General features: G+C 34.5%; 1 protein-coding gene across 1 annotated transcript in view; it reads right to left on the bottom strand.

Moving 5' to 3' along the window:
* Nucleotides 1-12958, bottom strand: part of MSH3 (mutS homolog 3) — a 222164-nt gene that overhangs the window by 96928 nt on the left and 112278 nt on the right. Inside the window, exons 14-17 of the mRNA NM_002439.5 lie at nucleotides 11768-11955; nucleotides 10885-11053; nucleotides 4130-4194; nucleotides 1052-1168 (exon numbers count right to left, since the gene is read on the bottom strand). Coding sequence (NP_002430.3) covers nucleotides 1052-1168; nucleotides 4130-4194; nucleotides 10885-11053; nucleotides 11768-11955 — 539 coding nt within the window. The remainder of the gene's footprint in view (nucleotides 1-1051; nucleotides 1169-4129; nucleotides 4195-10884; nucleotides 11054-11767; nucleotides 11956-12958) is intronic.

The following is a 12958-nucleotide window of genomic DNA, read 5'->3' as shown; positions in this document are numbered from 1 at the left end:
ATTCATAAATTAATGTTAATTTTTTGGCCGGCACAGTGGCTCATGCCTGTAATCCCAGCACTTTGGGAGGCCGAGGAGGGCGCATCACAAGGTCAGGAGATTGAGATAATCTTGGCTAACACGGTGAAACCCCGTCTCTATTAAAAATACAAAAAAAAAAAATTAGCAGGGCGTGGCGGTGTGCGCCTGTAGTCCCAGCTACTCAGGAGGCTGAGGTGGGAGAATGACTGAGGTGGGAGAACTCGGGAGGCAGAGCTTGCAGTGAGCCAAGATTGCGCCACTGCACTCCAGCCTGGGTGACAGAGTGAGACTCCACCTCAAAAAAAAAAAAAAAAAATTAATGTTAATTTTTTTTAGATGTAATAATAAATGGTGTTAAGATTATATAGTAGAATGTCCTTATTTTTAAAGACGTAGGCTTAAGTATTTAGGGGTAAAGTGTTACAATGCCTAAAACTTACTTCCAAATGTTTCAGGAAAAAAAATACATGAGAGATAAAAAGCAAATGTGGCAAATGCTAACATGTGATGAACCTAGGTGAAGGGTGTATAGAGGGTCATCTTAACTTTCAGTAGATTTTAAGAATTTCTTTCGGGCTGGGTGCAGTGGTTCAAGCCTGTAATCCCAGCACTTTGGGAGGCTGAGGCAGGCGGATCACTTGAGGTCAGGAGTACAACATCAGCCTGGCCAACATGGCGAAATCCCGTCTCTACTAAAAATACAAAAATTAGCTGGGTGTAGTGGTGGGTGCCTGTAATCCCAGCTACTCAGGAGGCTGAGGCACAAAGAATTGCTTGAACCTGAGAGGTGGAGGATGCAGTGAGCCGAGATCGTGCCACTGCACTCCAGCCTCGGTGACAAAGCAAGACTCAGTATCAAAAAAAAAAAAGTAAAAAAAAAAAAAAAGAAATAAAATCAGAGAACACATGTACTCAACTATTTTATGGTGGGTCATGAGCTGTAATCTCTATTTTCTTTTTGATGGAAAGATTTTTCCAGTCTGTTTCTGATAGCAAAAAGTCAGATTATATTTTTTCATTGTAAACTCACTCTAGAAAATCAAGCCATTCAGCACTGCAGTCAAGGACTAGCTGCTCCCGGAGCTGATTCAGATGTCTGTAATTTTCTACAATAAAAGGAGAGTGAAAGCGGCTCACAGCTTTTGTGCTAGAAGAGGGGAAAGAACACAAATAGGAAATCAAGGTTAGTAAAAAATCCGAAATGCCATCACTTTAGAAAATTAGTTATTTATTATTCTCTGATGAACCTTGAAAGTAAACAGCTGTAAACAGAAGAACATTCTTTAATTATGGTCCTGAACTCTACTGATTCCAAAGAATATGACTTTGCTCAGGAAGCCTTTTAAAATGCATTTCAAATTATACCCATATAGCAAAGTCAGAGTTTAGAACTTTTATTTCATAGGCAGAAAGCTTTTTTCTTTAAATTATACTAAGTGAAAATGCTCTTTAAAAAAGATCAGAAGCATATATGGTAAAAGAAAATAAGACAAAGCTGGGAGGTAGATACATTGGTGAAGGTTGTATTATTCTTTGTTTTATGGGCTTTTCTGTATGATTGAAGTATTTCAGTGAAAAAAGAAAAATAAAAAAGCATTACAAAGAAAGCAATGCATTAAGTCAGGAGGCAATTAAGAAAGATCTTCAGGATACTGTGATCTGTGCAGATTCACAGTGGCTCTGGATAGGAAGAAATACCACATGCTCCCCATCTGGGCTTGAGTATCATCTCTGCTCTCTGTTCAGTAGCTAGAGCACAACAGGGGATGCCATGGGTCCCCAGTCAGAGAAGCCAGGTCGAGGCTCCAGTCCTGCCACTTACTTACTAGCTATGTGATTTGGGGCAAATGAAACAGACCTTCTCTAAATATCACTTTTCTCATCTATGAAACGGGGATAATAATATCTACCTCATAGGTACTGTTGACAGGATCAAACAAATAAAACTTAGGAGAGCGCCTGTAAGTATTGTGGTTGTGGTGGTGGTGGTGGTGGCGGTTGCCACTGCTGTTAATGCTGTCATTATGATGATAAATCTTCAAGAAGAAAAGGTCAAGGTGTCTGGTCTTTTTTTGCTCCCCAACTCTTGTAATACACTGTTGCACTTTAATTTGCCAAGTTGCTGGATTAGGGGTGGGCCTTTTGCATTCAAAATCTGACTCCTGATGTTCTAACTCATCTCTGTCAAAACCCTATGGCCAAACAGATAAACTGCAATGAACCTTTCCCTAACTATCTTATCTGTTGATTCAATTTACATTACTGAACATGTGAAAGATGGTGTCACTGATTTATGCCTTGCTTGTTGCTTTAAAATTATATCATCTAGACTTCTAGGCCAACATATTTATCAAAGCTTTATCTTCTGGAAAAACTCATTTAGGGAGATATTTCAGTTATTGTTGTAGATAGACTAACATGGTTTTTGGTAATTTCTCTTCATAATGCATATTTCATTCATTAGCTGTGGTACAGGACAAAAACAGATAAAGGAAAGAATGCCTGCAAAAAGAGAAAACATCCCCTAGAATCAACAATACTCAAATCTAAAGTACAGCTTCTGGTAGCATTAAAAAAAAAAAGATGGTATTAGAATGAAAGAAATCCATGCCTGTGCCTTCAACATCTGATGATGTGGCAATGGATAATAAACATTCTCTTTTTAAGTTAAAATAATAAATTACTGGGAGGCCAAGGCAGGTGGATCACTTGAGTTCGAGACCAGCCTGGCCAAATGGCGAAACGCCATCTCTACTAAAATACAAAAAAAAGCCGTCTGTGGTGGCAGGTGCCTGTAATCCCAGCTACTTGGGAGGCTGAGGCAGGAGAATCATTTGAACCCGGGAGGCGGAGGTTGCAGTAGACCGGGATTGCGCCACTACACTCCAGCCTGGCTGACGAAAAGAGACTCTGTCTTAAAAAAAAGAAAAAAAAAAAATATATATATATATATATTTGTATTATATTTTTTGTATATATGTATTATATATATTATATATGTAATAAAGTAACAATCATTCACACATTATGTCAAAATTTCCCTTCATCCTTAAAACAGAATGTCTGTACACTATTACCAGCTACGGTCCCTCTTCTACCATCTGAGGCAAATGTACCATTTTCATCTCATGTTTGTGCAACTTATTGATAACAGTACTAATAAATATTCCACAAAAGATACTATTCACAGCTGTATATACTTCCCTAATACCTTGTCTTTAAATGAGTCCTCTCCTGGAGATTAGTATCTAACCAAGGAGAAAAGGCAGAGTCCCAATGTGGTTCTCTAAATTTGTTTTTGATTAATTTATTTTCATCAATTCATGATCTGGGTTACAAAAAAAAAGATGTAAAGAATTATAATAATTATGTGCCAAGGAAGGCATTAAGAATAAAGAAATGTGGAGCTCAGTGAGGTAGAAAATGAAATTGCAGCTTCTTAAAAGAAATGTCAGGCATAGCATTCACCATGAAGTAAAAGCAACTAAATTAATCTTACAATTGAAGGTTCCTCAACTTTTCTTCCATGTGTACCCTGTGCTATAAAAATAAAGCAATAATTTACAAAACAAGAAAATAAATGTGTAAAAATAAGATACCTTTTTGAAAAATGTTTTAAAATCAATGATAAAGAGTTAAAAGTAATGATCTCCTTGGTTAAAAGTTCCATAAGAAAGGGCAGGGCACAGTGGCTCATGCCTGTAATCCCAGCACTTTGGGAGGCTGAAGTGGGTGAATCACCTGAGGTCAGGAGTTTGAGACCAGCCTGGCCAACAGGGTGAAACCCCGTCTCTACTAAAAATACAAAAATTAGCCGGGGGTTGTAGTGTACTCCTGTGGTCCCAGCTACTCGGGAGGCTGAGGCACAAGAATCCCTTGAATCAGGGAGGCGGAGGTTGCAGTGAGCTGAGATCATACCACTACACTCCAGCCTGGGTGACAGAGCAAGACTACATCCCCTCCAAAAAAAAAAAAAGTTCCATCAGAAAAAATAAGTAAAAAGAATTGCTTTTAATTTCAAGAATGTGGCTACGATGAGCCCAGTAGCACATAGATATACAGATGTCATCATAATGCATTGTAAGAAAAAAATTTATTTTAAACCTACCTTCCAACCTTTACCCAATCAGTTGGTATACAAGATACAGCAGAGTTCTTTATTTCTATCATAAACTAAAACAAATACAAATAAACAGAGATTTAGATAAGTAACCATTATATATTTTAAAGCTTTCCCCAAATTGTGGTATAACAATTTATTATATATTGTTAAACACTCAAGATAAGTCCAGTATTGTTTTTCAGACTGTATATATGTCAATACAGACAAATATTATTAATTAAGGGTTCACTACTTGGGACAAAGTACAATTTGTATTGCATAAAACATTTGTAATACTTGGGCTTTCATGTTTCTAATATTGTTATATGTATACTCTGATGGCTTTTTCATTAACCACCTCTTTCATTTATTAATACTCACTTATCTTAAGAATTCTACTACTCATAAAAGATTGAATTTCTAAGTATATAAAATTTTAAAATATTCAATTACTAGATGTTACACCAGTCTGAGATATGATCCTCCCCTATTCTGAACAGAGAGGATTTTTAGATAGTTTTTATCCAAGGAACTGAAATCCTGTAAAAGTCTCTTCACAGGAAAGCACTGACTTCCCTAACTATAAAGAGAAGAAAGTGTTTCTTCCCATATGAGAGTTTTCTTCAAGTTTTCACTTATATGAACCATAGTATCTTTTTTTTATTTTTGTGGGTACATGGTAGTTGTATATATTTATTGGTTACATGAGATAGTTTGATACAGACATACAATGCGTAATAATCACATCAGGGTAAATGGGGTATCCATCTCCTCAAGCATTTATCTTTTGTGCTACAAATAATCCAGTTATACTCTTTTATTTAAAAATGTACAATTAAATTATTATTGATTATAATTACCATGTTATCAATACTAGGTTTTATTCATTCTTTCTGGTTTTTTTGTATCCATTAACCATCCCCTCATCCCCTCCACCCCCACTACCACTACCAGTTTCTGGTAACCATCATTCTATTCTGTATCTCCGTGAGTTCAACTGTTTTAATTTTTAGCTCCCACAAGTAAGTGACAACACGCAAAGTTTGTCTTTCTGCACCTGGCTTATTTCCCTTAACATAATGACCTCCATAATCCATCCATGTTGTTGCAAATTACAGGATCTCATTCTTTTTTATGGCTGTATAGTACTCTGTTGTGATTACATACTACAGCTTCTTTACCCATTTGTCTGTTGATGGACACTTAGTTTGTTTCCAAATCTTAGCTGTTGTGAATAGTGCTGCAATAAACACTGCAGTGCAGATATCTCCTTAATATACTAATTACCTTTCTTTGGGATATATACCTAGCAGTGGGATTGCTGGATCATATGGTAGCTCTATTTTTTTTTTTTTTTTGAGGGACCTCCAAACTGTTCTCCACAGTGGTAGTGGTAGTATTAATTTACATTCCCACCAACAGTGTACAAGAGTTCCCTTTTCTCCACATCCTCATCAACATTTGTTATTGCCTGTCTTTTGGATAAAAGCCATTTTAACTGGGGTGAGATAATATCTCCTGTCATTTTAATTTACATTCATAATATATTTATAGATCCAACTGTGCTCTGCAAATAAGGTTCTCTGAAATCAGCCAGGAAGCAAGTGAAGTTCTATCACACCATTCATTTTTAGCCTTAGTTATGTATTATCTTTTCTCAGTGTGCTTGCATTTCTGTATTATTGCAACCAAATTCAGGCCGGGCGCGATGGCTCACACCTGTAATCCCAGCACTTTGGGAGGCTGAGGCGGACAGATTACCTGAGGTCAGGAGTTTAAGACCAGCCTGGCCAACATGGTGAAACCCCATCTCTACTAATAATACAAAAATTAGCCAGGCGTGGTGGCAGGCACTTGTAATCCCAGCTACTCGGGAAGCTGAGGCAGGAGAATCACTTGAATCCAGGAGGTGGAGGTTGCAGTGAGCCGAGATTGTGCCACTGCACTCCAGCCTGGACGACAGAGCAAGAATCTGTCTTAATAAAAAACAAAAAGAAAAACAAAAGAACTAATTCAATGATTCATTTAAATAAATTTATAAAAACCCATTTTGAGCAGAATGGAACCCAGAAACTGTGTGGTTGTCATCTTGAGAGAGCTATGAGAACTTTTTCACATTTATCAGTTTTATTATATGCACGTACCTTCAGGTATTTATAATGTTCATATTAATAACAGTATCAACATGGTTCTTGAGTTTATTTTTCCCATTAATAGAAACACTGTAGCTTTTACATTAATTATATTAAGAATTAGTGGCTAATCTAAAAAATTTCATCATTAGAAAACTGTTTTGAACTAGTGATGCCCTCATTTATAGAGAATTACTACAGTTTCAAATCTGCCACACCCACTTAAATAGTTAAGAGTGAAGAGTCTAACAAGCCTCCTTTGGCTACAAAAAGTAACTTTTGAAAAACCACAAAAAATATCACTAATGGGAAAGATAAAATCACTTTTAAACTGTGCTAAATAATTCTGCTGTTTTAGAGTGTTCTACTAAAAGAAATGTTGGCCTTTTTATAAAATAATTCTGGAAAGAGCTATGCTAAAGGCAAACAGCAAAATTCAGGAACAGACTGATTGGATCACTGATATTTGGGAAGGACACATCCAGATGCATAATGACTAACACAGAGCTCCACAGGAGTTACTGGCTAAGGGATGGTGGACATTTTGAACAAGGAGCACCTTGGGAACAGTTTGGACCACAACTATTCAATCTGTAAGTATCAAAAGTTCTACTCTAGGAGCACAATCACTACAGCGGGCTACCATACACAGAGCCAATACAGTGCCACTGCAGGGGGGAAAACAGCGAGAGTCAGGAAGGCACAAGTTAAACCCCTCTGGTCACATCCTCAGACAGGGTCTGGTCCTTGGACTGATCCTGAGGGTCCCTTTTCCTCACTCAGCAATCCTCAGAGTTTCAGCCTGGGTTCCTCCTCAGAGTTGTCTTCTGCTAGCTTTTCTTCTCTTCTATACTGACAATAAGATACAACATTTTTCTCTAGCTATTCTTTTTTTCAAACATTCTAAGAATGAACAGGTAGGCCTTTGGTTTAAGAATTTTATTACTAAAGAAAAGAAAACTAACATAGAAAAATAGCATACATTCCAGTAATCTTAGAAAGCTCTCATAGCAACTTTTCCTGGTCTACAGTTCCTGACTTTGTTTATTAGGTGTTGATGTGAGTAGTCTGCCTTGATTCATTATAAGCAATCTCTCATATTCTTCTCCTGGGACCCAATTCTGTCTTAGTTAAATGCCAGATATTGTTATTCAATCTATATAGCCTGTGGTATCACTGGGCTGGCAACGTTGCTAGGCTTGCCGAAACTCTTACTCACTCCAGAAACTGCTGTTTTCTCCAGCACCACACTTAACCCATTCCTCCAATCCCCCAATTTCATTCTCTTAATAATTTAAGGATGTTTTACTATATTTTAAATCTAAGTAAAAAGTACTCAGATGTAACAGATTATTTTCCACATTTTAAACCAGTAAACAGGTATTTGGATATGCTGCATGCTGTCAATTAATAAAACCCTTTCTAAAGATTTTTTCCAATATTTTTCTTTTTCCCTTAGTAATAATAATAATACTTATCAGTACTGCCCCCAATGTAAACATTGCCCCATTTCCATTCCACATTTCATTCAAGGTTAAGAGATAATTGGTATATATTCATAAAATATGATAGAGACTGCAACAGAAGCAGTAAACTATGTAAACTTCTGCTTTCATTACATACATACATACTTTCATACATACACACAAACATTCATACATACGTTCATTACATAATACATAATAATGTATGTACATTATTACATAAAAATATAAAGTTTCTGCTTTCATTAATTTCTTCTAAGCCAATATTTACATAGAGACAATAAGGAATCATACAATAAGGCTTTAGTATTCTAATGAGTATATAAAAGCTGGGAACAGAGGTGAAAAATGAATGTTGTCAAAATAACACTGGATTTACAGACTGGCACATTTATCTAATTTTAGTAAAAATAACAAGATCCACATACCATCACGTGGCTCACATGGGGCTGCTATAATGGGTCTTTTAAGGTTATTACAAAAGACATATGTATAGAAATAAAATGTCAGAACAGAAAGGCATAAAAAAGCACCAATAAATGTAAAATAAGGGTTTTCCACCCTGCCTCCCTCACTTCTCAGAGATAATCATATTTGATGGAGTCTGTTCCTAGTCCTTTAAGTACCTCTAAATAATTTGAGAATAGCATTAGTCCTTTTTTTTTTTTTTTGAGACAGGGTTTCTCTCTGTTGCCCAGGCTGGAGTACAGTGGCATGATCACAGGTCACAGCAACTTCAGCCTGTCAGGCTCAAGTGATTCTCTACCTTAGTCTCCCGAGTAGCAGGGAGCATAGACACATTCCACTATGCCTGGCTAATTTTATATTTTAGGGATGGTGTCTCGCTATGTTGCCCAAGCAGGTCTTGAACTCCGGAGCTCAAGCGATCCTCCTGCCTTGGCTTCCCAAAGTGTTGGGATTACAGGTGTGAGCCACTGTAGTCGTTTTTAAAACAGAATTTGATTAAAACAATTTTGAATATTTAGAATTCCTTTGGTGTTCCAATGAATAGAATTATTTTTTTCAAAAGGTTCTATGAAAGCAATTTTGTATTAACATTCTACTAAAATCCTAGAGAAGATTATTAAAAACCAACAAGAATCCATCCTACTATCAATAACGAAGAAACTTTGTTCCTCAAATTCATCAACTTAACCTAGTAAAGATAAAAGATAACTGATCTTCCTAATAATTTTTAATACAATTAGTTGATCTCCATGCTGTACTTTTTAAACCTCAATGCCACACTCATAATGAATAACCAGTCTACTATCTCTTATGAATTCCTGATAATTTTCTCTCATTTTTACTCAAAAACTGCCAAATGAATCCAGGACCGTCTTTCCAAGACTTAAACTTTATTTTATTTTGAATACTATGAGCTCTAAAATATCTAGATTTTGTCAGATAAAATCCATGGTGTTGAGAATCTTTGTGTTAATATTTGGAATTAATAAATGGAATGAAATACTGATATTAATATAATAGAAAGACTAGAGTCTGGCAGAAGTGGGCTGGATTTGTGCTTCGGACCTTGGGTAACTTATCTAACTACTCCAAACCTTGGTTTTCTTTCCAACAAACTGGAATGACCCTTTTGGGCATTGTTATAAGAATTAAATAATATATGTAGGCACCTACCACCATTCTAGACTTTAACAAGTACTTGATAAATGGTAACTGTATTACTATTATTGTTATTATATGAGTAGTATAAGCATAGCACTTTATGATTAAAAAGCACTTTCATGTATTTTAACTTAATTGGTCTCCATAATAGTCTTACAACAGAGGTAACTCTTCCATGGTCGTATAGCATGTAAATGGTAGAATTGGCACTTACACTTACTTTCTCCACTGTAAAAAAAAAAAAAAAAATGTAGTAGAAAAGGCAGCCACTTTTCTACTACATATCTTTTATTAAAGTAACTAAAGCAGTGTTGATCATCTGATTTTAAACCAATAGCCAGAATAGTGGCCTTTAGGCCAGTTTTCACTTTGCAAGGTCATGACTGCATAGCAAAAACAAGAGTTACAATTAAATATTTGGTATTTGTCTGTTCAGACAATAAACATAAGTATAAATATTGTCAAATCATTTTTCTGTTATATAGAGCTCTATGTGGCATTGTGAATGTCTGCTGAGTATAATATCTTAATAATTTTAGTTCAGAAGACAGGTTGACTTAATGGGTAAATCTATGAAATAACACAAGACTAATAAACACTTTAATGAACATTCTCAATTAATGTAGAGCTTCTTATTTCAAATAACTATACATTCAACAATCTTTTGGCAAAACACACAAAACAATGTAAATGTTTAAAAATTTGATTTGAAATTAAGTTCTTCCCCACCGGAAAAATATCTATTTTTTGAAAATCCTGAATAAAATGCTCATTCTATAGAAGTTAACCATAAGTTTCCTAATTTGGTATTTTAATAAAACAGAATTTCTCAAACTCCCTCAGTTTGAATCTTCATATTTTATTAAACATAAGATATAGGAGTAGCATGCCTCAAGACCCAGAATAGGACTGAAAAGCACAACCATATTTAAAAGGCATACTTCTTCCTTTTCTGGTTCTCATTCAGACATTACTATCAAACTTTAAACAGAAGTACACACCCCCAAGAAACATATTCTAAACAGTACCATAATTTTATGGAAGACTCACTAACTGTAGTTTTTCACTCTAGACTTGTTTTTTTTAGCAGCTATACTCTTAACTTTAGGAGGAAGCCCCACCGTTTAATCACTGTATGAGCCAATCAACACAGGCTTTGTATCATTTCATCATCTGCAAGGTAGGGATCAAAGACTAACTTCTCTTTCCTGGATTTAGAACAAATGAATTCTATAAGTTGTTATTCATAGTAATTGAGATTTTCTATAATATAATTTCAACAGATAACGCTAATATACATATAACATTAAGTTGCATTACTTTAACAAGAGACTAATAAAACACTATCATTAAAATAACTCTTATCAAAACAAGTTATTACAACATATTTCCAAGGAATAAAACAGAAAATTTGAAAAGATAATACATATCCTATCCTCAGATTTCTATTTACATTTTAAAATAGCTTTTCTACTAGAGTAAAACTAATAGAAAATAAAAGTAAGCTTGACATTACCTCCTGTCCTGATACTGTCACATATTGTGCAGAAGGATTTTTTAGTATTTTTCGTATTTCTTGCAAATGCATTCGGATCTCGTCAATAACACCTTGAATTTCATCCTTCCTCTTTTTTATTAAAGGGAAGTCAGAAAGGTCTTTAAATAATTCAGTTTTATCCCCAACTCTAAAAAATCAAAACATGCAAATACATATTCGAAGTTTATTAATTACAGCAGTTATCGCTTATTTTTCATAGTGTGATAAAAGAGGAAAGCACTGGAAGTCAGAAAAATGTGGTTCCAATTGTCACTAAGCACTTATGGATTTGTTTTTTAACTTCTCTGAGGATGGTCAAAATTACCCTAAAATCATTTCTGCTTTTTAACTTCATGATTCCCATGGTAAAACCAAGAGATAAATTATTTGTTGTTTGCCTATGCAGAAAACAAAGACAAACGTAAATGTCAAATCCTATTTCATTTACATAGAATGTTTTGTGCAATATGTTATAACTACCTTTTAAAGGATAACTTTGCTTTTACAGATTCTAAATATAAAGACATCTCTGGAAATATAGGAAATGAGTACAAGATATCTGACACTCATTTTGGGGTTAATAAACTACTAATGCTTGGCTTTGCCTGTGTTTTACCTTTCCATCATCTGATATGTGGGGGAGTACTATATCTGTCCTAGATGGTAAACTGCCTAAATTTTAGGTAGCAAGTATTCCAGCTGTAATGTAACACTTTTAGGGTCCAATCACATTTCTAATTATATATGTACTCATGCAACTTCTATTATTATTCTAGTAAAGATTAAGAATCCACAAATAAATGGCAAATGCACTGAATTATACTGACTGGTGAAAAGGAAGAATTCAGGGTCTGGTACTTACTTGGCAGCTTGTTCATTGAGTATCTTTAAGTAATGCTCCACTGGACTGAGGAGTTCAGGAATTTCTAAAATAACGGTCCGGAGCAAGTCTGACTGAATGTGGGAATTAACAGCAGGTATTATTGCTTGAAATTCTGACTTTAGGTGATATAAAGTTTTGACAATCAAGAAGAACTCTTGGGTAGAACACTGAAAATAGAAATATTTTTTATGAAATAGCATAAGATACATGAAAATGAAGTTTAATTAGTGACTTTTAAAAGTTAGAATCAGAATTGAGGAAAGTTTAAATTTTCTATTAACTAGTTAGTTGAAATAAAATATCACTGATATTTTCTAAATGAGGTTAAATACTATGTAATATTTTAAAGGTATAAAGGAAATAATTTTAGGCAAGGAAAACAAAGCCAATACTTGTTTAGTATTTTTTCATTTTTAAAATAACATAAACCATATAGCAAAAATAGGTTAAACAAGTTAAAAAATGTGAAGGATAATATCTGTAAGGCATAACAGACACAAGGCAAAATTCTCCCAAACATAATAGGCTCTTACAAATTGACAAGAAAAAGATGAATAATCCAAAGAACAATGGCTAAACAAACTGAATATGCAGCTCATAGAAAGAGAACAGCAAGTATGTATACGATTATCTTCATATATAATTAAAGACAAGCAAATTAGAAATATAGGATAGCATTTTTCACTTATCGGAACGCCAAAGATTTAAAAGCTTCACAATAACCATGTAACAGGATGTAAAAGAAAAAAAAGACACTTTTATATACTCTTAGCAGAGGACTAACCTTTTTGAAAAACAACTTGGCATGTCTTCGTAATAAAAAAGTGCACATAACCCTTTGAATAAGCACCACTTTAAATAATTTATCTAAAAATAGACTAACAAATAGTGAAAAATATGTGTGTCTGAATATTCATAGTAGCGCTGCTTATAATTTAAAAAGATGAATAAGAAATAAATGTCCATCAATTGGGATCTTATTGGGAAAAACTCATGCAGTGTAGTACTACGAAACAGCTAAAAGAAAATTAAGATCTGTTTGCATCAGTATAGAACTCCATAATTTCAACATACATTGAATATATACAGTATGTTTATATCATATACCATATATGTATATATTTTTATGTATTTACATGGTAACACTTTCTTTGTATTCTTTAAATGATA

The sequence above is a fragment of the Homo sapiens genome, chromosome 5 (genome assembly GCF_000001405.40).
Source record: "Homo sapiens chromosome 5, GRCh38.p14 Primary Assembly".
Lineage (NCBI taxonomy): Eukaryota > Metazoa > Chordata > Mammalia > Primates > Hominidae > Homo > Homo sapiens.
Note: the sequence above shows the minus strand (reverse complement) of the source record. Positions and strands in the feature narration are given on the sequence as shown.